The sequence below is a fragment of the Homo sapiens genome, chromosome 3 (assembly GCF_000001405.40).
Source record: "Homo sapiens chromosome 3, GRCh38.p14 Primary Assembly".
Taxonomy (NCBI): domain Eukaryota; kingdom Metazoa; phylum Chordata; class Mammalia; order Primates; family Hominidae; genus Homo; species Homo sapiens.
Window position 1 is genome coordinate 13,534,772 of NC_000003.12, and position 26,594 is coordinate 13,561,365.

The 26,594-nt window shown below is 53.9% G+C and overlaps 1 protein-coding gene across 2 annotated transcripts in view, besides 8 other annotated features; it reads left to right on the forward strand.

Moving 5' to 3' along the window:
* Positions 1,194-1,694: an enhancer, noted in NCBI's record as "H3K4me1 hESC enhancer chr3:13577465-13577965 (GRCh37/hg19 assembly coordinates)". NCBI's record gives its function as "activates a minimal SCP1, AML or CMV promoter by ChIP-STARR-seq in primed H9 embryonic stem cells {active_cell/tissue: H9 hESC(primed)}" and the evidence as "EXISTENCE:reporter gene assay evidence [ECO:0000049][PMID:30033119]".
* Positions 8,592-9,129: an enhancer, noted in NCBI's record as "H3K4me1 hESC enhancer chr3:13584863-13585400 (GRCh37/hg19 assembly coordinates)". NCBI's record gives its function as "activates a minimal SCP1, AML or CMV promoter by ChIP-STARR-seq in naive H9 embryonic stem cells {active_cell/tissue: H9 hESC(naive)}" and the evidence as "EXISTENCE:reporter gene assay evidence [ECO:0000049][PMID:30033119]".
* Positions 14,354-26,594, forward strand: part of FBLN2 (fibulin 2) — an 89,280-nt gene continuing 77,039 nt past the window's right edge. For both annotated transcript variants that reach the window (NM_001004019.2, NM_001998.3), the window contains exon 1: positions 14,354-14,437. The gene's annotated coding sequence lies outside the window, so the exon portion shown is untranslated. The remainder of the gene's footprint in view (positions 14,438-26,594) is intronic.
* Positions 15,717-16,325: an enhancer, noted in NCBI's record as "H3K4me1 hESC enhancer chr3:13591988-13592596 (GRCh37/hg19 assembly coordinates)". NCBI's record gives its function as "activates a minimal SCP1, AML or CMV promoter by ChIP-STARR-seq in naive H9 embryonic stem cells {active_cell/tissue: H9 hESC(naive)}" and the evidence as "EXISTENCE:reporter gene assay evidence [ECO:0000049][PMID:30033119]".
* Positions 16,326-16,932: an enhancer, noted in NCBI's record as "H3K4me1 hESC enhancer chr3:13592597-13593203 (GRCh37/hg19 assembly coordinates)". NCBI's record gives its function as "activates a minimal SCP1, AML or CMV promoter by ChIP-STARR-seq in naive and primed H9 embryonic stem cells {active_cell/tissue: H9 hESC(naive and primed)}" and the evidence as "EXISTENCE:reporter gene assay evidence [ECO:0000049][PMID:30033119]".
* Positions 21,402-22,189: an enhancer, noted in NCBI's record as "H3K27ac-H3K4me1 hESC enhancer chr3:13597673-13598460 (GRCh37/hg19 assembly coordinates)". NCBI's record gives its function as "activates a minimal SCP1, AML or CMV promoter by ChIP-STARR-seq in naive and primed H9 embryonic stem cells {active_cell/tissue: H9 hESC(naive and primed)}" and the evidence as "EXISTENCE:reporter gene assay evidence [ECO:0000049][PMID:30033119]".
* Positions 22,957-23,006: a silencer, noted in NCBI's record as "silent region_14087". NCBI's record gives its function as "represses an Ori minimal core promoter by ATAC-STARR-seq in GM12878 lymphoblastoid cells {active_cell/tissue: GM12878}" and the evidence as "EXISTENCE:reporter gene assay evidence [ECO:0000049][PMID:35858748]".
* Positions 24,654-25,155: an enhancer, noted in NCBI's record as "H3K4me1 hESC enhancer chr3:13600925-13601426 (GRCh37/hg19 assembly coordinates)". NCBI's record gives its function as "activates a minimal SCP1, AML or CMV promoter by ChIP-STARR-seq in primed H9 embryonic stem cells {active_cell/tissue: H9 hESC(primed)}" and the evidence as "EXISTENCE:reporter gene assay evidence [ECO:0000049][PMID:30033119]".
* Positions 25,156-25,655: an enhancer, noted in NCBI's record as "H3K4me1 hESC enhancer chr3:13601427-13601926 (GRCh37/hg19 assembly coordinates)". NCBI's record gives its function as "activates a minimal SCP1, AML or CMV promoter by ChIP-STARR-seq in primed H9 embryonic stem cells {active_cell/tissue: H9 hESC(primed)}" and the evidence as "EXISTENCE:reporter gene assay evidence [ECO:0000049][PMID:30033119]".

The following is a 26,594-nucleotide window of genomic DNA, read 5'->3' on the forward strand; positions in this document are numbered from 1 at the left end:
AGTAGCTGGGACTACAGGTGCACGCCACCATGCCCGGCTAATTTTTGTATTTTTAGTAGAGACAGGGTTTCACCATGTTGGCCAGGCTGGTCTTGATCTCCTGACCTCGTGATCCATCTGCCTCGGCTTCCCCACGTGCTGGGATTCCAGGCGTGAGCCACCGCACCCAGCCCCTGCTCTTCACTTTTAACAGCATAGATGAGTGTTGCCTGTTCTGGAACTTCACACAAAATGTACAAAGTGCGTATGCCATACTTGTGTACTCCTTTGTGTCTAATTTCTTTGGCTCTGAGCTATGTCTGTGAGCTACATCCACCTTGCTGTATGTAGTTGTGAATTGTGGGTATTCAATTGTGTGGTGGCCCCATGACGCACCTGCCCATCTCCACTGTCAGTGGGTGAGGAGTGGCTTCCGGTTTGGGGAGCTATGGCCAGCCCTGCTGGGGATCTTCTCGTTTGTGCCTCCTGCCTGGAGGACACACGCTGTCCTGAGTGGAAACTGAGGAGGGAGATTTCTGGGTCACAGCACGCACATATGTTCTGTTTTGGTCCCTTCTGCCAAACGGTTTCCCACAATGGTCGCGCCATCCGAAACTCCCGCTGGCGGATAAACATTCCAGTGGTTTCCCTTCTTTGTCCACAGTTGTTATTTTCTGAGTTTCTTGCCTCTTCCACAATTCCAGTGGGGTGGAGCCACAGCTTTTCCATCCTCCCGCCAGCCACCCTTGTTCATATTTCACAGGTGAGAACACAAAGGTGAGGGGAAGGAGTTCCTTACTCCACGTCACACACCCTGTGGGTGGCAGGATGGAGACTGAAGTCTCTCCGGAGGGATGCAGGTGGTAGGGGGAGCCTGGAGGAGCGTGGAGCTGATTTCGGCTGCGTGAAGTTGGCTGTGGGGTTGAGAGCCGCCTCTTCCTTGAAGTTGTCTGGCAGGCCGTATGGTGACATCTCTCCCTGCCCATTCTCGGGCTTGCTGCAGAGAGGCTGCACTGTGCCCACTCTTCTAGAGGGAAGGTCAATATGGGATTTGGCACTTGCTGTGTGCTTTAGAAGACACTGTGGTCTCAGGCAGGAGCCTTGGGGGTGGCCGTACCGTGGGGGTCAGGCTGCCTCTGCCCCTCCTGGCTGAGCCCAAGGGCTTACACCACCACCTCCAAGCATCCTGCATTTCTCATCTGTAAAACGGGCCTGAAAGCAGGGCCTGCCTGGCAGGTTGGCATGAGCCGTGCATGAGACAGGAAGGGTGTATGCTTTGCCTGGCTCCCGCAGCCCCATGGAAGACTCAGATGAGGGCCTGGTGCAGCCGGGGTTGGGGCAGGGGTGGAAGGGAGTTCTCCTCGAAGTCCGTGGCATCTGGCATTCTGGGCAGGGGCCCAGACATTGAGAAGGGTGCTGGGATGCTGGGATGCTGGCCGCCCACCTGCCCCTCCTCCCACATGTTGGCATATGGTTTTGTTCAGCAGGAGCCAAGCTGTCGGGGGAAGTTTCCTCCAGAGAGCCCGGGGAACAAGGCCCCTTTGTCTGGTCTGGGGTCTGCCTGCTCCCTAGGCCTGGAATTATGGGTCAGACCTCAGGCTGGCCATCTAGGGGCACTGTCTGTGATGGAGGAGGCCGGGGTCACCCTCTGTTAGATGAGGAAACTGAGGCAGAGAGAGCAAGAGACTGGTCCAGAGAGCTCAGTTTGCCAGCAGTGGAGGCAGGACTGGCTCTCTGCTTCCCAATCCAGTGTTCTCCCTTCTCCACCCTAAGATGGGTTCCCAGAAGTCCCTGGGTCCCTCAGAGAGTTTGTTTGTGTTGGTGGAGCCACTCTTCTTTAACAACCCCCACTCCTCCAGCCCATCCTTCCCTCCTTCCTGTCCTTCCACTGAGAGTTTTAGAGTTTTAGAGTGTGGCTGTGTGCAGCCACACTCCCAGCTACCAGGAATAGAAGTGTAAACAAAACAGTCATGATCTTGGCCCTCAGGGAGCTTGCCATCCAGTGGCAAAGCCTGACGAACCCACTGACATTGATGTCACAGGAGTAGTGCCCCGAGACAGGCGCTCACAGGTGCTGTGGCTGCACAGTCCAGGGGGTGAGAGTGAGCCAGGAGAGCTCCTGGGAGGAGGTGAGGTTTCAGTTAAGACCTGAAGGCTGACAAAGAAGCAGCCAGGAAAGAATGAGGTGCCCTGGGGGAGGGGCAGGGTGCTCCTGGCAGGTGGCACAGCACAAGCAGGAGCTGGGAGGTTGCAGAGAGCAGAGAGTGGGTAAGCCAGTGGAGGAAGCAGGAGTCGGGGGAGGGGAGACCGTGAGCGGAAACAGGAAACAGCTCCCATCAAAAACGGAGACACAGACTGGAGCCAAACCACTTTAGGACCTTGCCGGCCAGGCTGCCGAGTATGGGCTTGACTCCGAGGCCCACAGGGAGCCACGGAGGGCTTAAAATCAGGGAGTCCCATGGCCAGATTGTGCTTTAGAAATTAGTGATTGCAAAGAAGAAAGCAATGTTTTAAGGGGCAAAAGCCATGAGCAGAAATTTCACAAAAAAGAAAATGCAGATGGATGACGAACATGGCAAGATGTTCATCCTCATTAGTAACAAGGGACATGTGGACTAAAACCACACCAAGGTACCATTTCACACCTACTACACAGGCACACAAGAGTTGGTGAGGAGGTGGCACGCTTGGCAGCAACTGGTGGAAATACACATGGGCACAAACACTCTGCAGCAAGTATTTGGCATGAGCTGATGAGCCTAAATATGTGCATGTCCCATGACCTAGCTGTACGTCTGCCCTAAAGGACTCATACAAATGTCTACAAATGTCACAGGGAGACAGGCACGAGGCGGTTATAGCAGCATTATTTGTAACAGGAAAAACAAAACATGACAAAAACCAGAAAGCAATCTAAATATCCATAGACAGAGAATCATTCGGTATGCAAGAGCTGGTCAGTAGAATACTATACAGCACTGAAAAGGAATGAAGACCACCTGTAGGCACTGATGGATGCATCTCATCTCCTCAGTGCAATGAGGAACACTTAAAGTATGAGTCTCTTTATATCAAGTTCAAAAACAGCCCTAATTGAACAGATTAGGGGTGCATACAGAAGTGGGAACACTTTTAAGGAAACTCTGGGAGTTAGTGTGACTGGGAAGGGGCCCCAGAGAGGATTTCTGGGTCAAGAAGCCCATGCTTTTCACAGAACCCCTTTCTAGTGTTTGCACATGACCCGAATCAGCCCCTGGGCTCATGTCACATTCTCTCCTGCTGGCTAACATTTTTGCAATGGGTGTAACCTGCTTGTTTTATTATTAGTCACCAACCACAGGCGACTTGCTTTTCCATCAGACCCTCGCAGTGTGCTTGGCCTTCGGTTCCCAGCCTAGTGGGAGCCAACGACCCTATGAGATCTGGGTATTTCTGGGTATCTCTGGGCTCTCATTGGCTGGATCACAGGGGCTTCCACGACTTGACAGCCAATCACTGAGGAGCTTGATGAAGTCCCCTTCTGTCTGTTGAAAACTTTAGAGAGAACATATTTTAAAAATGTGTGCTAAATACATATCTGACAGTGTCTGAATTTAATGTCCAAGAAATTGACCTGAAACTCAAGGCTGCAAATTTACCCACCCTTTTGGGGCCATTCATGGATCGCTCTCCAGCATCTGGGAACAGCCCTCAGTTTCCACGTGGAGATTCCTCCCACCTGCTCAGGCCTCTGGACACATATATGACCTGGGCAGAGCCAATCAGCACAGCCCATCCCCACGGCAGTGACTGGTTCCAGGCCTGGGCACCTGAATTGAGTCCCTCCATTTGGGGAGAACCTTAAGACCAGTGCAAAAGTGCTGCATTCTAGCTGGACTTGAAGGGTTATGAGTTGAGTGACAATGGGGGAGAAACTTGCTCCTGGTAACATGTTTGAAGGACTGGATCAAGCTGTGCTTGAAGTCCACCCTTGTACTCTGTCGGTACTGAAGTCAATAGTTCCCTTCTTGACTTAGCCTCTTTGAGTCAAGTATACTGTGACTTGCAGCAGTAAGTCCAGACTGGCACCCTTTCCCAACTTGTCATTCACACCTCCTGAGCCAGAAACCTGTGTGTGTGTTTGTGTGTGTGCGTGTGTGTGTGAGCCTGCCCCTCCCTTTCTCTGGCTCCCAGCATCACACCAGTGTCCTCTCCCCACAGTGTCTCTCCAATCCTACCATTGCCCCCATGCCACCAGCCCTGTCTGAACCCCATCATCTCCCACCTGGACTCTTGCACCAGCCTCCTCCAGTGGCTTCCCACCGCTCTCAGAATAAACATGGAGCTTCTTCCCGTGCCCACAGGCTCCCCCGTGAGGCCTGACCCTGCCACCTCCTCGTCTCCCCAACTATCCCTTCAGTGGACTCCTCAGCTTCCGGATCCCTTTCCCAGAGCCCACTTAACTGTCCTTGAGCACTTCCTGTGTGCCAGGCCCTGTCTGATCCTTCCCACTGGTTAACTCATGGAGCCCTCCCAAAGCCTGGCGATGTAGGAGCTGCTGTTCCTATTTTATGGAAGAGGACAGGAAGCCCAAGTGGTTAGGAGCCTCCCGAGTCTGAGTTAGCACACAGCCAGGCAGCCGGGCTCCAGCTGACCACTGTCCGCACCACCTCCCCTGCAGCACTGCCTCAAGGCGCTTCTTATTGTGTGGGTGTGAGGTTGTTGGATTTATATCTATCTCCCACTGGAATGTGAGCTCCATGTGGTCAGGGGCGAGTCAGCCCTACTCATGGCCAGAGCCCTGGTAGGATGCACAGTACCTGGCACAGAGTGGGTGTCCTGGAAAGGTTTGTTGAGTAATATTAGCTAATACTTATTGAGCACTTACCACATGCAAACCACCTCCTAAGCACTCCTAAGCATATAACTCAGTCTTCACAACAGCATGCCGAGGTAGGCAGTTATTTTATAGTTGGGACCCTGAGACACAGAGAGGCAACTTCTCCCAGGTCCCATGTCTACTAAGCAGCAGAGCTGGGCTTCAAACCCAGGCAGCCTGGCTCCAGAGTCTGACCTGGTAACCACGTGCTATGTCATCCCTGTGTGGGCGGATGGCTGCACAGATGGCTGGATGGACACTGAAGCTATGTTCCTGCTGGGGGTCAGGGTGAGTGGAGATCAGGGGCATGGAGCCGAGACTGGGCCCATGTCCCGAACATGTCGGGAGGCCAGGGCCGACAGATGGAAATGAAGGATCAAGGCACACCTTGCGGGGGTCTTCTCTACTTCCAGGGGCTTGGCCAGCTGGCCAGTGTGGTCCAGAGGATGTGGGTCTCCCATCTGCTCCCTTATCAGGGCCCTGGTGAAGAGGCCTGGAGAAAGGAGGGGTTGAAGCACCTGGGGGAAAGCGGGAGGGATGGGAAGAGACCAGAGGGCAACTCAGTGAAGATACTCAGGACAGAGGGACAGACCTGCCCATGGCCAAGCAGCTCTGGACCTTCAGCTAGGAGGTCAAGGGACCCTGGAGTCAGAGTGTGTTGGCAGCTTAATACATCACCCGGAATAACTACTGCCAGTTTAGGTCACATGGCCTGAAGGCTGGAATGTGGAAAGTGAAAGTTCTCTATGGGCCGTGCAGACCACTCTAAGGACTTGTGCTCAGTCCCTGGAATAGTCCTGGAAGAGGGACGGCTGAATTGGCCCCAGGATACTAGAGCAGCTGGGGTGGCTCAGCCTGCAGAAGAGCAGCCTTGAGGCTTTGGCTGAGGAGAAGCAGACAGGCCAAGAGGACCAGAGGGTGGGGCCAGAACCCAGAAGGGGGTCACCTCTCTGTGCAAGGATGACTTTTCTCTCAACATCCAGAGTTGCTCAAGAAGAGAGGGTGTTGCCCTCCCACCCCATAGCTCAGTTCCTGGCTCCTTCCTCTGGGTTCAGCTGGGGCAGGGGCACCTGGGCTCTTTCCACCCAAGGAAGGGGGTTCCAGGCTCTGTCTTTCCTGGCATTCCAGTGGCCCATTGGGGCCCCAGGGCCTAAGGGCCGGATGAGGAAACACAGAGCCTGCTGGGCCGTGGCCCCAGGCACAGGCTCTGGGCTGAGAGGCCTAGAGAGAAGAGCCTGGGACTCCAGGGGGCTGTGTGACTCACTCATGCTGCCTGGGGGGACCCAAGCTCAGCTGCCTCTGAGCTGTCTCAGTTTTGTTATCTGTGAAGTGGGGACACCCAGTGTTTAACCTTCAGCTGGTGGAGGACATGCAAGGGAGGCAGCTGTGTCTGAGCTTCATAAACTGTATAATGCAGTGACGATTTCAATCACCATTTCTATCATTGGATTAGTTTCGGTCTGTTAAGAAGCCCAAAGTGATTTTGCCAAGCAAGACAGGATTAGATGTGCAAGGAAATTTTGCAGGGAGGGAGCAGGAGAAGGCAGAGAGAAGTTCAGAGGGCAGCACAATTCTGACACTTGTGCTGGGAGAAGGGGAAGAAGGACTGGGCAGGAGGAGTCTTGGAATGTGATGCAATTCCAAAAAGCTTCAGCCAGGATGATGATTGGGCCTGGGAGCTTTTCCAGCAGGTGAGTGCAAGGAGTCCTGGGTCTCTCTGGGATATTGCTGCATTCCCATTCCTAGCTCTGTGCTCTGTCGTTGGTTGGGAGCAGCTCACAGTGGCCTCAGTGCAAATGTGATGGCAGGTGTGGAGGAGCAGTCAGTGACCTATGCTGCAGAGATAAGTCGAGATCTGAGTGATACATCTTCATGGCCACCATAATCCTAATTATCCAAAACCCATCTATACCCAAGATGGGTTGGGTCAAGTCCTGCCAGGTAACCAGAGGTTACTTGGAGCCTCAGAGGCCAAAGTTTGTTATTTAAACAGAGATGTGTTTCCCTTCTTCACATTCCTAGAAGGGGAGGTTTCCAGGTATAACTGGAAATTCTTGCCCCATAACAAGGCAACCTGCTGGAGGACCAGCCATCAGCTGCATGGGACGGGCAGCCAGAGGGGCTTGGGGTTAGATTCAAGGGCAGCAATAAATGAAGGTTTCATGGATGGATGAAAAAAGAACTGGAATAGAATATAGGTAGCTTACTATTCTATTTCTATCTTGGAATAGAGGAAGGCTTTCCAAGCACAATCCCAAAACCATAGACCACAAAGAAAAATACTGGTAGGTCTGTCTACATCAAATTTTTAAAATTCTATGTGTAAAAAAGTATATAACCAAAGCTAAACTAGAGGAGTTTGCAGCATGTGCTTGGCAGACAATAGGTTGGCACTCCTGCTATACAAAAAATGCTTATCGGTTACTACGACCAAGATGGACACCTCCATAGTATATATGCCCTTTGTCCTTGCAACTTCTTGGAAATAGACAAGTGCTCCAAAATATAGAGATTTATGTTTTATTCTTTTTCTTTTTCTTTCTTTTTTTTTTAGAAATAGGGTCTCACTCTGTCTCCCAGACTGGAGTTCAGGGGTCAATCATGGCTCACTGCACTCTCCCATCTCTGCCTACCAAGTAGTTGGCTTTACAGGTGTTAGAAATAAATTTTCGGTGCTGCAAAAGAAATAGCACTCAAACGTGAATTTTCTCAGCAAGGCAATTTTACTTCTATAGAAGGGTGCATCTTGCAGATGGAGCAAAGGTGAGAGCACACAAGGGAGGGGAAGGGGTTCTTATCCCTAACGCAGGTAGCCCCTACTGCAGTGTCATTCCCCTATTGACTAGAATTGGACTGCACAGTCTAAGCTAATTCTGATAGAATACTGGACAGCTATTGACAGTGATTCCAAAGATTTCTGTTATTGATATCTTTGGATATTTGTTATTGATATCTGTTATTGATAGAAAAATGACCATAATATATCACATGATGGAAAATATTTATTAGAAGCTGTGGGCAGGCATACATACATACATTCATATATATCATGTATATGTATAAAACAAAAGCAGTTGGGGCCGGATGCAATGGCTTATGCCTGTAATCCCAGCAGTTTGGGAGGCAGAGGTGGGCAGATCACTTGAGGTCAGGAGTTCGAGACCAGCCTGGTCAAAATGGTGAAACCCCCGTCTCTACTAAAAATACAAAATTTAGCTGGGTGTGGTAGCATATCTCCAGCTGCTTGGGAGGCTGAGGCAGGAGAATTGCTTGAACCTGGGAGTTGGAGGTTGCAGTGAGCTGAGATTGCTCCACTGCACTCCAGGCTGGGCGACAGAGTGAGACTCTGTCTCAAAAAAAACCAAACCAAAACAAAACAAAACAAAAAACCCAGCAAAACAAAAAAAAACAAAAAAAACCAAAAGTGGTTGGATGAGATTCTCTTGGGAAGATAGAATCTCCCAATATTGAATGTTTTATTACATGTAGTTTCTAACTTAGTTATTAAAATCAGAGCCAGTCTCTCTCATTTAACAAATGGGGAAACTGAGGTTGAGAGTGGGCAAGAGCCTTTCTGGGACCAGGCCCCCTGTCTCTGGGCTGCCTTCGCTGTCCTGCGGGCCCCCTTCAGCCCCTTAGGATTTCACAGTGTGGCCTTAGGCAAGTCTCTTCCCTCTCTGGCTGGCTGCAGTGGGGAAGGGGCTCTGAGGCTGCTCAGCCTATTTTTCCAGCCTGCTAGGGAGGTCCCAGCCTCTGAGACCAGCACCCTGCCTCCTCACCCTTCCCCCTGCCTGAAGAGTTGGCCCCAACAGCAAGGCTGGGCCAAATTTCATCACACCAGGCAAAGGAATGGGCCAGCATGAGTCACGAGCGAGCCGGGCCATAGGAGGTAGGGGCTGACCATTCCCAGACGGGAGTTGTGAGGCCAGGCGACTTTCCTGGAATAAGTAGACTGCTTGGGAAAGTGCAGAGAAATCCCAGAGTGGAATAAAAGTTGTAATGCCTCTCCCCCACTCCTCTCCCCAGACACTCTATTCTATGCACTTCAGCCCTTTTTGCCACTCTGCCAAGGGGTCACCCAGTCCTTGTCCACACACCCCAGCTCCCCACTACCTCACTACGATGTTCTCCCTCTTCCTCTAGAAGGGCAGGGAAAAGCGTGCGGACTCTGGAATTGGGCTGCTCCAGGTGGGGGCCCTAGCTATCATGCTGAGCCTCAGTTTATTTGTAAAATGGGGGAAATATCTAGTACCTCTAGAATTGTGTAGAGGATTAAATGAACTAATCCGTGTAAGGTGCCTGTTAAAATGCTTAGTACACAGTATATGGTTAACAGACACGAGTTTATTTTTCATCACAGTCGCTGCCCCCTTTATTTAAGGCAAACCACCTTTGGAGAGAGCCTAGACATCATAAAAAATGGAACCTCAATGGCAAACACCAGTGTTCAAAGGGGCCTGGGAAGTGCAGGTGCTGGACTTGGTGGGTAATGTTGTCTCAGTGAGATGAATTCCATTAGCCAAGGCTCTTGGGTGATAGAAGTGAGCACACCAAATCTCAGGTGCAAGAAACCCCAACTAAACCAACTCAAAAACAAAACCCCAACTCAAATTGGCTGAAGCCCCAAAGAGCATTTATTGACCCCTGTAACTGAAAGATCCAAGGGCAAGATGGCTTCAGGCTGAGCTATAACCAGGTGCTTAAACATCATACCATCAGAAAGCCTCTCTCTCCTTCCCCTCCTCCTCTCAGCCCTTACCTCTGAGCTGGTTTCATTCTCAGCAAGTTCCCCTAAGAGGTGGTCTCCAAGCTACTGGCTCACACCCCCAGCTGGGCAATAGGGCAGAAAGAGCGCTCCCTCCCCTGGCTCCAGGGCAGGCACAATCTGCCTTACATACAGATGCCCCTCACTAGGGCCACATACCCTTCCCTGAGCCAACCACCGTGGCTGGGGAGGGGATTCCCCAGTGGGCCACACCACATCAACCGAATGAACCACATCAACCCAGAACGGAGCCAAGAAGGCTCTGCAGAGGAGCCTCAGGGGCTGGCAGCTGGAGCAGGGGATGGGGATGGGCAGAAACCAAAGATGTAGACTGCACAGGTCTTCTTGGAAGGCTCTGAGTCATGAGCTTTGGTGGGAGACTAGAGAACACAGCTCGTCTATGACTTCTTAGTAGAGCATTTGAGCTCGATATTGAAGTGGGAGGGGTGGTTGTTAGTTGGGTGTAGGTTAGGCTGTTAGCTATAGCAAGGCTATAAAAGACTCATGTGAAGGTACAGGCCAGGTGTGGTGCTCCTCTGCTGCCCAGGGACTCCCTCCATGCAAATGTGACTCTCACCTGGTAATACAAAGTGGCTGTATCATCTTTTCCTTTAAGGCCATGAGCCAGAAATTGTCCACATTACTCTGCCCCAATTCAACAGCACGACATGTTTGTGGTCCCACCTGGCTGCCAGGGAGGGTGGGAGTGAAATCTTCAGCCAGAAAGCCATCTAAAATTTCTATAGTTATGTTTCTTACATGAATGGTGGGGGCCGATGAGGGTTTCTGCCACAGGGTAGGAAGGATGTGGGTAGGTGGAACAGCATTCACAGTGGGATGGACAGGCAGAGAGGTGGGGAAGTTCCTGGTGTAAGAGAAGAAATCAGCTTTTCATTGGGTGAGGAGTAGGGCTCTGGGATGTAAGGACGGGGTGTAGGTGGGTGAAAGGCTGGAGATGCAGTGGGGATCCAGACCAGAGAGAGCCTGAACTCGGCTCCCAGGAGTGACTGTGTCCGGCTCCCAGGAGTGACTGTGTGCCCACATGTCCATGCTCTGCTCATGCTACCTGCCAGCAGCTGCCCTCGGGCCTGGGCCTGGGGTGTATAGACTGGTGTGCAGTCCACTCTTGGGAGGAGGGAAGACGGAAAGAGACTTGTGCAGGCTTTGGGGGTCAGGGCCATTTAAGCAGGGACTTCCGGGCACTGGCATATGATCTGGAAAGGAGTAGGGGGTCATCAGGGACTCCTGGCGGGCACATCTCATTGTTCTCTTAGACTCTTCACTCTGGGGAGGGACAAAGCTGGAAGAGGAAGGCTAGAGGGAGGTACCCCAAGTGGTGTTTTTCAAATCTGGCAGCACATCTTACAACCTACTGGGGATTACAAAAAAAAAAAAAGTACTGATGCCCAACTCCACCCTCTGGAGACTGGGATTTAATTGTTCTGGAGTAGAGTCTAGACAGTGGTATTTCCAAAACAACAACAACAACAAAAAAAAAAAAACAAAAAAGAGAAATTCCCCAGGTGATTCAGATGCACTGCCAGGTCTGAGAAGCCTTGTTCTAAAGCCTGGGAGCGGGTGTGGTGTCCTGGGTCTTCGTTGGGCAGCAGGATGGCAGGTGGGGCTGTCCCCTGGGGGAGGTGGGCCTATGTCTAGATATCTTTCCTATCGTGTGGAATTCTTCCCCTCGAGGGTCTTGGGGGGCCTGGACACTGACTTTCCTAGTATCTCTTGCAACTGGGGACAGATGGGAGACCCACACTGCCCCCACTGTGGCTGCAGCTGCTGTCAAATGGGAGGTGGGAGAGATGACTAAGCAGGCTCAGGGCCGAACCCACTGCTGGGGAAGGAGAGGCACTGTGACCCTTGGAGGGAGCTGGGGAGAAGTCCTGGCGGGGAGTCCGGGGCCCACCATTCAAGGAGTGGGCAGCCCTCACGCTGTCTGCACCCAGGTGGGCAGCGAGATTTTGGGCCCTGTCACTGGGCCTTTCTCCCCGAAGCTTGGTTTCCAGGCACACTGTGATCACAAATTTCTTTTCTCATCCAAACAGCTCAAGTTAATGTTGTTTGTGATTAACAACAACAAACATTTAATGGAGGGCTTATGATATACCAGACACTGCTGTAAGCATCTTAACTTCAAAACAATCCTATAAGGCAGGAACTTCTTTATAGGCTAGGACACTGAGGCCAGAGGGTTGAAGCCACCTGCTGAAGGTCATACAGGGAGGATGTGGATTTAAATCAAAGCCATTGGGTCCCAGAACCCATGCTCCAACGTAGGCAGCCTCCCCAAGGCTACCCAGTGAGGATGCAGACCCAGGAAGCTCAGCAAGGCTTCTCTTCCCAATCCAGGCTGCACAGGTGGGACAAGTGAGCCTCATGCCTGCTGGCCCTGGCGCCTCAGTGCCCAGGGAGCTGGTGAGATTGTCACTGATGTAAATAACTTCGCTGCCCACTGTGATCATTCTGTCTAGGCCTTATCAGCCTGACTTCCTCCAACCATTTCTCAGCCAGGCCCTGGGCCCCAAATTCCTGGTGGGTGATGCGTGCTCTGTCTGCGATAACAGTCTTGGAAGGGCTCTGAAGGGACAGCCGCTTTGGCCGCATCTCCGGCTCAGATAACAGGACGGGAGAAGTGTCTCCACTTTATCTTGTGGAAGGCGGGCCAGGCCTTGGGCTCCCTGGGCTGCAGAGTGAGCTGCATCTGGCTCAGTGCCTCTCCTCCCAGGCCTGGGGAAGGGAGCCTCATTAGCAGCTGCCCAGGGTCTCTATCACCCCAGGCCACTGCCCCTCCTTCCCCCACAGGAGGAAGGATTCAATCTGTCATTTACTCATCAGATATTTACTGAGCACTCCCTTGGGTCAAGTCCCATCCAAAGTACAGATAATCCCTGACTTACGATGGTTCGATTTAGGATTTTTTGAATTTAGGATGTTGAGAAAGTGGTACACACCCAGGAGAAACCCTACTTGGAATCCCCAGGCAATCATTCTGTTTTTCACTTTCTGTGCAGTATTCAATGAGTTACATGAGATATTCAATGCTTCATTATAAAATAGGCTTTGTATTAGATGATTTTGCCCACCCGTAGGCTAGTAATGGAAGTGTTCTGAGCACATTTAAGGTAGGCTTGGCTGAGCTATGATGTTCTGTAGGTTAGGTGGATGAAATGCATTTTCAACTTACTATATTTTCGATTTACGATGGGTTTATGGGGACATGATCCCATTATAATCGAGGAGCATCTGTACTTTCGGTTTGGCTCATTTCGGTTCATTTGATCTTTCCAATAACATTATAAGATAGGCTTTGATGTCGTTATGTTCATTTTACAGTTGAGGAAATAAAGCCCAGAGAGGTGAAGTAACTTGCCCAAGGTCACACAGCTGGTGTGTGGTGACTTTCTTAATGACCAGGTGATCCTACCTATAGTCATTTATAAATGAATAAGAGAAATCAGCCAGTGACAAGTACTGTAATAACAGTGCGGCCGAGTCCCAGGGTGGAGAGTGGTAGTTGCTACCTCTGCTGGGGTCTCAGGGAGGGCTTCTCTGGGGGTGGTGGGATTTCAGCTGCATCTTAATGCAGGGATGAGTCAGCCACGGTGGATCTGGGGAAGAGCATCCCAGGCAGAGGGAACAGCAATGGCAAAGGCCCTGAGGGAACAGCAAGCACAGAGCTCCAATGGGGAAACGGGCCCAGAGGGAAGGCACCTGCCTGGGGTTAGACACAAGTTGGGGCAGGCCAGGCACAGGCTGCCAGCTCAGGCTTTGGCCCCTCCATCCGCTCCTGGCTTCTCTGTGGGTGGCCCCATCTAAGCCAATGGGCCCTTCCTGGCTCCACCTCCTCTCTGCTGTGCGGCCCTGGGCAGGCAGCTGCCCTGCCCTGTGCCTTTGCTCTTGGCTGCCTCACCCCTGTCCTGGGCTGCAGGGAGACCCCTGGGGGTGGGGGCAGGCACACTTTGGGCCCATGGCTGCTGCTCAGATGTGAGGTGGTGACCACCAGGCCATACGTCTCTGGACAGGGATGGGAGAGACTCAGAGAGACACAGAGACCAAGAGATAAAGTCAGAGGGAGATGCAGAGACCAAGAGGGACAAACCAAGGGAGACAGAGAGATGACATTAGATCAGAGATGGAGACCCCGAAAGAGACCCAGAAAGGGATCGGTGTGGGCTGGGGGAAGAGACACCCCGGGGGTCACACAGTGGTCACAGGCATCAGAGCTGGGCTGAGGAAAAGGACAAACTGAACCTGTTCCAAAGCTGGGGGCTCAGTACCGTCTGCCCAGGCACATGCAGCAGCAGTGGGGCTGCAGGCAGGCCCCCAGGGTAGGAAGCAAGGCGGGTGGGAGGCAGGGCCTGGCCTCTGGGCAGTTTTGTAGCCGGGCCCCTCAGGCCCTCACAATGTGCCCAAGGCTGCTGGGCCCATCTTCCAGGGGTGATCACTGAGGCTCAGGCTGGCTGAGGTGGCCGGACCCCAACCCCTGGCCCTGCCCTGTGGGCAGCAGTGCCAGGTCTGGCACTCAGAGGTTAGGCCGGGCGCAGGGAGGGTGCGGGCTCCGCAGCGAGCGCGCCGGGCGGCCTCTAGGAGCCGGGTCAGCGAGTCTGGGCTCTGAGCGAGCGGCGCCGGCCCGGCCCCCTCTCCGGCGGGCGGCCGAGACCCCGCCCCGGAGGCGGAGGCGGAGTCAGGGGAGGGGGCCGGGGGCCGGCTGGTCCCGCCTCTCGCGCCTCCGCCCCGCCCCGCGCGCACACAGCCAGGGGCCGCCCGGGCTCTCGACGCGCCGACGGCCGGGCGGACGGACGGACGGACGCCGAGCGCAGTGCCCCGCGGTGAGTGCACGCGGCCCCTCCCGCCCGGACTCATCCCCGTCGGTCCGCGCCTCGCAGCTCAGGACTCGGGGGCGCTCGGACGCACCGACGGCTCGGCGGACCCTCGGACGCGCCTCGCGGGCTGCCCGCGCCTCCACCCGCGCCGCCGGTCCGACCGGGTCTCGCTCTCCCGGTCCCAGCGCGGGGACGGCCCGCGAGCGCCGCGACCCAGTGTACAGATGCGGGCACAGAGGCCGGCGCGGGGTGGGGGCCAGGGGTCCGCGGGCGGGTTCCCCCACCCCAGGTCCGCAGCTTCCTCCGCTCTGGGTTTCACTTCTCCCCCCTGGGCCGGCTCCCACCAGTCATCCCCTCTGGTCCCACTGCCCACCCCCACCCCGACCGCAGGACCTTGCCGCCCCTCCAGTCCAGAGGGCCGGGTCAACCCCCTCGGGGAAAGAAGACTAGAGTCCCTGGTCTAACACTACCCCCTCCATCACCCCCAAGTCACACTCACCGCCACACACGCACTCACACAAGCAGAAGTTTCTGCACGCTCTGCATTGGCGCGCCCACCCTGCCTGTCACCACATCCTCCCTCTCCCAGCCCCATGCTCACCCCGCCAGCTCCCCCAGGCCAGAATCTCTCACACTCATCTCACGTCCCCTTAGCACACAATGCTCCACACACACATGCCTTGCACATTGGCACCCCTCCGAGGCATGCCTCTAGCAGACAGTTGTGTCTCTGATAAACACATGTGCCCTTACTGCCCTCTGACACGCACACACGTCCGCCACACAGGGGTAGCTATCACATGCATATCTCCATCATATGTATCACACATGTGTCTCTCACATGCGTGTGCTCCTCAAATACCTGGAATCACAAACACTGGGAGTGCCACACACTGTGAGTCTCACATACGAGTCACAGACCCCCACGACTTCACAGTCCCAGCCCCCCTGGCACTCCATGGGCAGTCCTCCCCTGTCCTAGGGGGTGGGGAGCCGATTTTGGAGGAGGGAGGTGGTTCCTCCTGACAGAGGCTGCTTACCATGGGACCTGGGTGGCTGTGGGGAGCATGGGGGTGGCTCAGCCTCAGGCTGGGCCTGACTCCTCACCTCCGTGCATCCTCTCTCCCTTCCCCTGCTCCAGTCTCCGAAATAGGGGTGCCCTCCCTCCCTTTTTTGCTGCCACAAGGAGTTGCCCATATCAGCTTTGCAGTGATCACTTGGGCCAGTCCCAAGCAGGCCTGAGCCAGCAGGCGTCCCCTGACAGGCCAAAAAGAGAAAAAGGGAAGTCAAACAGGATGGTTTGGGTGCTTGTGTCTACCCTGATGCCCCTGAGATGCTGGTCCGGGCCCTCCCAGAGGGAGCCCTGATGAATTGGGTGGCAGCTGAGAAGTGTTCCCTCAGCCTGGCATGGATTGGGAGCTGGTGTGTGTTTGTGGCTGATAGGGGCTCTGGGCCTTAACTTCCCCATATGCCAAATGGGGTGAAGACTCCCCAGCAGGAGGAAGAGAGGGAGGGGGAGCTACTCCCCTGGGGTGCACCCTTGACTTCCCGCCCTCCCCTTCTGCAGCTGAGCTGTGTGATGGGGGTGAGCAGGGGATGAAGTCAAAGAATCTTATTCTGGAGGCACAAACCTGCCAGCCCCGGCTGTGGCTGGCCCTGCATGTTTTGTTTGGCTCTCACCATGTTATTATTATTTTAAAAAATTAATTAGCTGCCTGCATTTACAAATTGGCAGTTTTCACGTAAAAGTCCGGATTTCCGTCTTCTCTTGAAAAGTCACAAGGTCTGGTAGTTCAGGATCTGCATCTCCTGGCTGGTGCTGCCCACCCCCAACCCAGGGGATGGGGCAGGGGCGCTGTTTGGTCCCCGTCCCCACCTGGCCCTCTCATGCCTTCTCAGCTCCTGCCTGGCCTGCGTGGCCTTTGTGCGGCTGTGACTGCTGCATGCATTGGGCTGATTTTGCTCCATTGCCCGCCTCAAGCATAGGCCCAGGCTGGTCCTCCATGCATGGCTGGGGAAGCCCTGGGCGGGCCTCCTACCCTTCGAGGCCTTAGTCGTTGAAGCAATGAGTGGTGCCCAGGGCCCTGGGCCACAGGGCATCTTTGTGATGGTGGCAGACACTTCCTGCTAGGCTGTGGGGGACGGTGGTATGGGGACCCCGTGAAGCAAGAGCTCATGCCAGAGAGCATTCTCCGAGGCAGGCTTTATTCATCACTTTTCTTCCCAGATCCCGACATCCCTCCTGCAGGGTGGAACTCTTGCACCTATTTAAGAGACGGGGAAGGGGAGGTAGAGAAAGGGCCTCCCAGCAGGCAAGGGGGAGAGCTGGGGTTCAGCCCAGGATCTTTTCCCTCCAAAGCAAAGCTCTTTGCCCCTCTTACTGAGCCACTAGTGGGAGGACTTGGTCTCCTTGGCCGTGGGGGGAGTGCCCTGAGCCCATCCACACCTCACACGCAATAGGTGCTTCGTAAATGCTTGGGGCATGCTGATGGTAAGTGAAACTGGGTTCTCTGCAGCAAATTCGGGCCTAAGGTGAAGATTGCACAGCCACTTGACCTCCATCTCTTGACCTCGTGATCCGCCCGCCTCAGTCTCCCAAAGTGCTGGGATTACAGGTGTGAGCCACCGTGCCCGGCCCCTCCTTTTTTTTTTTTTTTTTAAAGACAGGATCTCGTCCTGTCTCTCAGGCTGGAGTGCAGTGGTGTGATCACAGCTCACTGCAGCCTCAAACTCCTGGGCTCAAGTGATCCTCCAGCCTCAGCCTCCCAAGTAGTTGGGACTACAGACGCACACCAGCCAGCTAATTTTCTATTTTTTGTAGAGATGAGGTCTCACTTTGTTACTCAGGCTGATCTTGAACTCTTGGCCTCAAGTGATCCTCACTCACAGCAGGTGCAGGTGATTGGGTGTGATGAGGAGCTGCTGGTGGATTCTGGTTTGGGGAGGGGTGGGGTCTAATTGAGATCCTAAAGGTCCCTTCCCCCACACTGCTGCTGGCAGGGAACAGGCTGGAGGGCAGCTGTGGGGATCCATGCAGCTTCCAGGTGAGAGAAGTTGGGGCTTGGATTAGGGCAGTGGCAGCATTGGAGGTGAGAGTGGTCAGATTTGGACTGACTTTGCAGGTGGGGCTGCCAGGATTTCTTGATGGATTGGAAGTGGAGTGAGTGAAAGGGGAGGCCAGGGTGAGGCCGGCTGTCCTGCCCGGTGGTGGACGTAAACACCATGCATGGCTTCTGGTCCTTAGCAGCCCTCTGTCATCCAGTTTCCTTCCCCAGGTCCCCGAGTGTGGGTGGTGCAGGTGTCCGTGTGGCTGCAGGCAGCTCTGCCTCCAGGGCGCCTTCTGAATGCTGGGGCTGCAGAGGTCTACCCTCCCAATAGACCAGACAGAGGCGCTGCTCCTGTATGCTACAGGGGCAGAGGGGACCACAGGGCTGTACCTCCAGCCAGGCATTATAGGGTGGTGGGAGCAGTGGGTTTGTGGCTTCACCTCGGGAGGGCTGGGAGCTGTGACTGGGTGTTGTGTGGGGGCGGCCAGGGAGGGGCTCCCTGGAGTTGGCGTTCCTGCTTTAGCAGCTCTATGAAACCCTTTGCCAGGGAGTGTGCCCAGGGCCTTGGATTCTCTTCATCACCCCACAGTGCTGGCAGTAGCCTCTGGTGTGGGCCAATGCTGTGCCAGGGGCTGGTGTACAGAGGAGCGGAACACAGGGCCCCTTTTAAGGTCATCCCCAGGGGTGCCTGCATGGGTTGCTCTGAAATGCTTTGTCGGGGCCATCCTGGAGGAGAACGCTGAAGCCATGGGAACTGAGGAGGCATCTAGCTGAGCCTGGGTGGTCAGGGAGGGCTTCCTGGAGGTGGCGCAGGCACTGTGATATGAAGGTACAGGGGTGAGGGGCACCTGGGGACAGAAGAAAGCCTGGCTTCTTTCAGAGTGGGGGCTTGGAGGAAGAGTGGGAAGTAAGGCTGGCAAGGCCAACTAGACCCTGAAAACGGAGGCCCTCCAGTCCTGGTCTGCGAGCGAGCAACAGGCAGCCTCAGGGCGTTCCGAGCAGAGGAGGCGCGGCCAGACTGTGAGGTTGAAGGGTCCCTCTGCAGCCCAGGTGTAGGAGTGGGCCTGGAGAGGACAAGGCGGCAGGTGGGAGACCTGTGAGAGTGACAGGGCCGGGAAACTGAGGCGCAGAGTGGGGCGTGCTTGCCTGCAGTCACATAGCGACTGAGGAGGAAGAGCTGGGACGGGAGCCAGCTCCGTCCACCTCCAGGTCCTGCCTGGCGAGCTGCCCTCGTGTACGGGGCACCACTGCACGCCCACACCACAAACTCGCCTCAGCTGGGCACGTCCTTTCCCAGGGCCCCTCGTGGGTCAAGCCGTGCGTCATTTTGTGCCATTGTCTTCAGTTATTGGAATTTGGAAACGTTGCAGAAATGCCTCTCTCTCCCCTCATATATGGAGATTGTTGCAAAGCAAGTGCTGGTTTGGGGAAAGGTTATTTCCTTCCTCGAGGGTGGGGAGCCTGGCTTTCCTGAGAGGGGCTGTATTGTAGGCGGCCAGTGCGTCCCGCCCAGGTCTGTGTGCTGGTGAGGAAGTGGTGCCACCCACCTGTGCCGGGCCAGGGATGTGGAGGGGAGCACCCATGTGCTCAGGCAGACCCTGCCAGTCCCAGGTCTCACACCTTGTCGGGCTTCTGGTTGCTCATCTGTGAATCGGGGGCGCCCCCCTGGCTATGCTGACATTGTTGCCCAGGAAGAGCCTTGAAACAGGAGGAGGGCTCTGAAGTGTGATGAGGCCCAGCTGGGCGCGTGGGGAGCACCGTGGGAGTTGAGCATTGCCTGGGCCTGAGCCCCCGGAGCCTGCATCATGAGGGATTTGTCTCCTATCCTTAGCTTCTCAATCTGGAAAATGGGCCTGGTGGTAGGGGCCCCCAGTAGGGTTGGTGTGAAGGCTGAAGGATGAATGGAGAGCCCCAGGCCCACTCTGGGGAGGCGGACAGTGCTGCTGGCCGTAGCTGGTTCTTGAGTGTGGCTGAGTGCAGCCACCTGTGTCTCCCGTGGCTTCTGTCTTCTGGCCACGGAGACACCATCATCTGTGTTGGGGCCAGCCCTTGGGCTTGTGATCGGGGTACCCCAGTGCTTGATAAGCCTCCCAGAGTTCTTCCCTCCTTAGCCTGGGACCCCCATCCTGGCCCTGAATTCCCAGCCCCAACCTTGGTCCCAAGTTGAGCTTTTAGATGATCCAGAAAGTTCTGTTCTTCTTAGAGTCTCCTCAAAATGAAAACACATCGTCAAAAAACATTGATGAGCATGCATGCGCGTGCCCACACACACGTTCTCTCTTTCTCTCTGTCTCTTGTCTGTCTCTGAAGATCTCGCTCATCACTGTGTTTTCTTAGACAACTTCCCTAGTCCTCGTGGTGGTTGGTGTTGGCTGAGCATCTCAATGTCCTCCCTCATCTCTGCTCCCCTGCATGGCTGTGGAAACAAATTAATTTCACCGTTTTGGCCCATGGGCATCCCAGGGGCCCTGATGGCTGTTGTCTGATTATGGGGCTGGTAGAGGCAGAGGGCTTCTACGGGGACCTGTGCACTTTCTTGGGGAATAAGCCAGAGGGTGTCAGCTTCCTTTCTGACAGAGTGAGGATGAGTTTCACCACCGTGTTTTCGGCTGCATCCTCCTACCTCCTGTCCTTGACATCATACTTAATAACTTAATGTTATTTTAAAAAATCCCTTCCCTGTTTTGCTTATATTTACTTTTTTTTTTTTTTTTTTTTTTAAATACTGAATTTTACTCTGTCACCCAGGCTGGAGTGCAGTGGTGCGATTCCGGCTCACTGCAACCTCTGCCTCCCAGGTTCCAGTGATTTTCCTGCCTCAGCCTCCCGAGTAGCTGGGACTACAGGTGCGTGCCACCACACTGGGTTAATTTTGTATTTTTAGTAGAGATGGGGTTTCACCATGTTGGCCAGGCTGGTCTCAAACTCCTGACCTCAGGTGATCCACCTGTCTTGGCCTCCCAAAGTGCTGGGATTACAGGCGTGAGCCACTGTGCTTGGCTGCTTATACTTACTTTTAAAGGAAACCTTTGATCACAACTGTAGACAGAAATCAGGATCACTTGTCCTAAACCAGCAATACCCATAAAAATAAATATGGCACTAAAAATACAGTGCTTAGCATCTTAGCCACCTTGTATGCCCTGCCACAGCCTTGAGCCCGAGTGAGTGTTCCCTGTTTTTTTTTTATTTATTTTTATTTTTATTCATTTATTTATTTTTTGAGATGGAGTCTCGCTATGTTGCCCAGGCTGAAGTGCAGTGGCGCCATCTCGGCTCACTGCAAGCTCCGCCTCCCAGGTTCATACCATTCTCCTGCCTCAGCCTCCCGAGTAGCTGGGACTACAGGCGCCCGCCACCATGCCTGGCTAATTTTTTGTATTTTTAGTAGAGACGGAGTTTCACCGTGTTAGCCAGGATGGTCTCGATCTCCTGACCTTGTGATCCACCCGCCTTGGCCTCTCAAAGTGCTGGGATTACAGGCGTGAGCCACTGTGCCCAGCACCCTGGTTTTTAAAAAGAATGGTTGGCAAGCGTCTGAGAGGTGTGGGAGGCACACCCGTGCTGTCTAGAGACGGTCTCCAATAGCCAGATTGGTTCAGAGGGATTCGCGGGGACATTTCCTCACAAGATCACCGAGCGTTGGTGCTTGTCCCTGAAATCAGCTGTCCTTGGAACAGTCATCTCTATCCCTGCCCAGGAAGTCCCCTGTGGTAGGGGCGTCACATACCTCACATCTCCTGGGGCTGCCTTGGCATGTTTCGTGCTAGGCTGGGGTTGATGGAGGAGGCCCCAGCCCTCTAGCAGGAATGTCTTCTCTGAGACCAAGTGTCTGGCTCTCAGGGAGTGGCCATGTCCTCTGTGCCCCCAGCTCCGTGCCCTAAGACTGTCCTGGCGGGTTCCGGCTGCTATAACAAATGTCACAGATGAGTCGGGGAGGAGATTGAAGATGGACATTTATTTCTCAGTTGTGGAGGCTGGAAGTCTAAGCCCTAGATTTCGTTCCTGGTGAGAGTTTTCTTCCCGGCATGCACGTGGCTGCCTTCTTGCTGTGTCCTCACAAGGTGGGGGGTGGGAAGCGGCGGACGGAGAGAGAGAGAGAAGGGAAGAGAGGGAGGGAGGGAGGGAGAGCTAGTGAGCTCTGGTCTTTCTTTCTGTAAGGACACTAATCCACACATGGGGGCTCCACCCATGTAACCTCATCTAAACCTCCTAATGGGGGGCCCCACCCCCTGATACCATCCCACTGGGGTCAGGGCTTTCACATAGAAATGTAGGGAGGACACAGATGTTCAGCCTGTAACAGACTGGTTTAATGAACTGCTGAGGATGGAAACACTGTAACACCAGCTGCCAGTCCCTGTGTGACCCCAAGGCAGGGTGTGGTGGGGAGGCCATGGCTTCCTGTGCATGGGATGGGAGGAGTGACCCCTCTTTGGCCCTAGACGTTGGGGTTCCCAGGGTCTGGTTGGGCATCAGCACATGACACTGTAGCCCACCTATGACCTGGGCTTGGTCCCCCACAGTGACTTCGGAAGTTGGCCTGCCCATTGCTGGAAGCAGGGGCCCCTTTGCACAGGCTTGTCTGTGTCTGAGGCTATTCAGGAGACGTAGGGGCCCCACTACATCCTCCTGGAAGGACTAGTGATCTGTCAGCCCTGGGTCAAGTTGCAGCCACCAGGACTCCCTCACGCCCCATCTTTCTTTTGTCTCTGCCTTTCTCTGTGAGCCTGGTTGATTCTCTCGAAATGAGGCCCGCCACATGGCAGGAAATGTGCCCACCTTCAGAACTTGCTGTTTCTTCCTCTGCAGGTGGTCTGTGCTTTCTTTTATTTCCACTTCAAGAGCTCAGGGAGGAGCTGTGACCAGCCCAGCCTGGGAAGAACATCTGCCCTGGGCCAGTCAGCTGTGGCTGGGGAGGGTCAGGAGGTCATGCGTTGATGTGGCCCCAGGCGCATGTCTGGAGCCATTCCCTGAGCCTGGGGACTGAGCGAGGCAGCCTGCTGCCCTAGGAGGGGTCTAGTCTACTGCAGGGACACATAACCCCAGCAACTCAGACATTTTGGGGTTAAGTCAGCCATGAATACAAGAAGGTGGTTCTTCTTTCTTTGTTTTCACAAATGTCAGGATAATTTTGGTTACAGGTGATAGAAAGTACAATTTCAGCAAAAAAGTCATGGAACTAAAAAAATACAGGGTGTAGCTTCAGGCATGGCTGTATCCAGGGCCTCTGCAGATGCCATCAGGACCGGGTCTCCATCTCTTGCTCTGCTGTTCTCTGTGTTCCATACTCCCAGGCAGGCTCTGCCGTGTGGTGGTCAGGTGCCCCAGCAGCTCCAGGCTCACCCTCGAGCTCAGAAGCTCTGGAGCAAGGCAGCCTCCTCCCAGGAGCATCAGCATGGGCCATGTGACTGGGTCGTGTGACTGCTCTGACCTGTCACTGTGGATGGGGCAGGGACTCCTCTCATTGGCCATCCAGCAGTCCACGTAGCCTGAAGTGTGAAGGGGGGTTCCCCAGAGGAGAAAGGCTGCAGTGATTAGACCCACTGTGCAGATGAAAGCATTGCTGCTCAGAGGGTCACATGCTCCGAGGTGCCCAGCAGCCTAGTGGCAGGGCTAGGTTCAAATTTGAGCTCTGATCTCTGGGAGTCCAGAGCTTGGTCCTGCTGGCTGTCTCCCTTGGCTTTGGCAGCAGGGGCTGACTGCCTTGGGGGCCTCCAAGGCTCTTGAGCCCAACGGTTATACCACAGACTGGGCCAGACCCCGCTGTTGGTTGTACACTGGCCGCCTCACTGGCAGCCCTGAGAAATTCCTAAATTTCAGGGCCGTGCAAATAAATTGGGCACAGCAAAGGCCTGAGGGACTCGCAGAGAGACTGGGCTGCCCGCTCCCCTGGCTGCTGCCTCCTTCCAGATGCTGTGGTGGCCAAGGGAGCCTGGTTCTGCCGTAGGCCGGCCCCGCCTGCCTGTCTCCATCGCTGTCTGTCTCTGGCTGTCTGCTTGGCTTTCGGTCTGTGCTTCTCTCCATCTCTGTCTTGGTCTCTTTCTGTCTCACTAATGGATCTCTTTCCTTGTCTCTGTCAGTCTCTGTGTCTCTCTCTGCCTGTCTTTTGCTGGCACCACTCCCCCCACCCCGCCACCCAAGTCTAGGATCTCAGCCCTTTGTGAGACTAAAAGGCGGACGCAGGAGTGAAAGTGCCTCTGTATGAAAGGTGGACACGTACCTTGGTTGTTTAGGTCACTTAGCCAGTGACTAGCCAGGTGACTTCAGGGAAGCCTTTTCTGTTTCTGAAGGCCCTTCTGGGATACTCACATTCATAATTCATCCCATCCTCTCTGCCAGCCCTGTGCTCGGGCCATACGGATTAATTAATCTACCCCTCTCCACTCACCCACCCATCCATATACCCACACACCCATCCATCCACCCGCCCACCCACCCATCTGTTCACTTACCCACCCATCCACCCACCTACCTACTTTTTTAGCCACCCATCCATTCACTCGTCCATCCATCCATCCATCCATCCACCCATCCACCCACCCACCCACCCACCCACCCACCTACCTACCCATTCATCCATCTACCTACTTATCCCACCCTCAGGGCTTGGCTTTAAAGCATGGGGTGGGATTTGGGTGTTCAGGGTTCTAGGAGAGTTTCAGGAGAGAGGGCATCGCAGGTTGAGCTAATGATGAGAGAAAGATAAGGGGTTGGGAACTAGAGAGAGTTTTCCAGTTTAGCAGGAGTTGGGTTTGTGGAGGACAACAGAGGGGGATGGGTTAGGAAAGCTAGGTGGGGTTAGTTGGTGAAGGGCTTTGAATGTCTCCGTTAGGAGTTTTTTCTTTATCCTTGGGCCACAGGACTTCAGCCAGGGGTCTGTGAGTGGACTGCAGGGAGTCTATGAAACTCCCTCACATAGCAGTTTTAGGTATGTGCCCATATGTCTGTTAAGGCTCTTGGTTGCAAGGGACAGAAAACCTGGTCCAAGTTAGGTTAATCAAAAGGGGTTCATGTCATTGTGAAGTTCAGTTTTTCAGTTAGCTTCAGGCATGGCTGGATCCAGGTGCCAGGCAGCTATCACTATGACCCTGTTTCTCTTTCTTGGCTTTTGTGTATTTTATGAGCAGGTGCCAGCCTCTGATGGTCTCCACTTGATGACAAGATGGCTTCAGGTACCCTTGATGTTAAATCATCTTAGTCTAATACAGTAGGAAAGAGAGAAGCTGTTTGCCCAGTGTTTTACCTGAGGTGGGTCTTATAGTCTCTAATTGTCCTGGTGTCCATCTCTGAGTCAGGTGCTGTTGCAAGGGGAATGGGAAGTGCTGATTGGAGCTCCAGCAGGGTGATAGGGCCACAGAACGAAATCTAGGGGCTGTTCTTGGAAAGAGGCTGAATATGTGCCAGGTGGTCAGAAACCACCCAGTGTCGCTGCAGAGCTTGGTTCATTATGTGCTTTTTTTGGTGGAGCTGGGTGTGTATTATCCATAGCTTTTTGCACATTCTCCAGGGGGCCAGAGCTGATGGAGAACCATTCAGGGTTTGGAGCAGGGATGAGAGGTGATGAGCAGTCCCTGGAGGCAGGATCTCGGTCCAGGAGCAGACCATGTGGAGCATGCCTGGGGATTAGGACTCCCCCCGCCCCAGGCGGGGCATGGGTGTGCCTCCTTCTAGGGTCGGGTGGAGGGTGTGTGGAGCGCCAGGTGGGGAGGGTGGTGATCTCAGCCTTGGCCGTGGGCAGCCTCATTTCTCATCGCTCCCACCCTGGGAGTGTTTCCTCTTTGCAGAGGAGTAACTTGTGGGGAAGGAAAATACCAGCTCCCTTCAATGCCAAAAGCAACATTTTCTTTCTCAAAGGTTGATTAAAAGTCACGGACATTAATCTTTGTAATTTTTCACGTGCTTATGTTGGTAATGAGATTAGTGATTGTGTATGTAGGGTCAGCTCTTACCTAAAATTTAGGGAGCTTTTTATTCATTTCTTGTTTTTTCTTTTTTTTAGGGAGGAGAGGGAAGGGAGGGGAGAAAACCCTGGCTGTTCCACTTGAAAGATTATTTTTCCCAGGGTTTTCATGAGCTCACCCTGTTGAAGGAAGGCCCAGTGACCAGTGAGCGTGTGAGGAGCATGGGGCACCTGGTACCCTAAGCCCCACCTGCGGCCTACAGCTTGGTCTGTACTTCACGTGTAGGGCTTGCCCTGGACCTGCTGTCTCCCTCCTCCTCCTTGGGGTCTCACACCACCCACCTGTGTCATCAGCCTCACCTGTTCAACAGAAAGGACCACAGACCTCTCCTCATCCTCCTGGCCCGGTAGCCCTTTCCTCGCAGCCAAGCTTCTGGTCTTTTGCACATCGTGCTATTATTAAGACATTTGCCCGCGAGGAAATGAAGGCAACTGTAGTTTTCAAGATTGAAGCCAACTTGATTACTTTGCTCTGATAATTTGTGAGTTTCGAATCATTTCCCTTCCTTCCGTTTCTCCTGCCAACACCTTCTCTGGCTTTTGTTTCCTTTTTCTGGATTACTGCAATGGTTCTTTTTTATTTTCTTTAAAAAGTCTCTCTTTCTCTCTCTGTCTTTTAGATACGGGGTTTTGCTCTGTCACCCAGGCTGGAGTGCAGTGGTGTGATTATAGCTCAATGCAGCCTCCAACTCCTGGGCTCCAGTAATCCTCCCGCCTCAGCCTCCCAAGTAGCTAGATACAGAGTCTCTTTGAAGGGAAAAAAACACAAACATACAAAAGAGTACCTAAAAGTCGGTGTAGGGTGGTAGAGGAAATTCTTGGATAACCACCACCTGGGCAAAGCAAGAGGATACTGCCCGCCCCCATAGGTCCTCTGATTTCCCTTACTGGCCACTAGACTTTGATGGTGACAACTCCTGCTTGACTTTCTAGTTCTGGTTCCTACATTTGCAGTCCCTAAATGATGTAGCTTAGATTTCACCAGGTTTTGTACTTTATGACTGGAATCTGTCCCAGATTTCTCAAAAGGGGTGTCTACAGTCTGTTCTTGAATTCCCAGTGTGCTGTGACCTAGTGGTGGCCCTGCCACCCTGTTGGGACAACATCCACTAAATGTACCAGATGTTTTGCTGAGGTCCCTGGGCCCCGGATT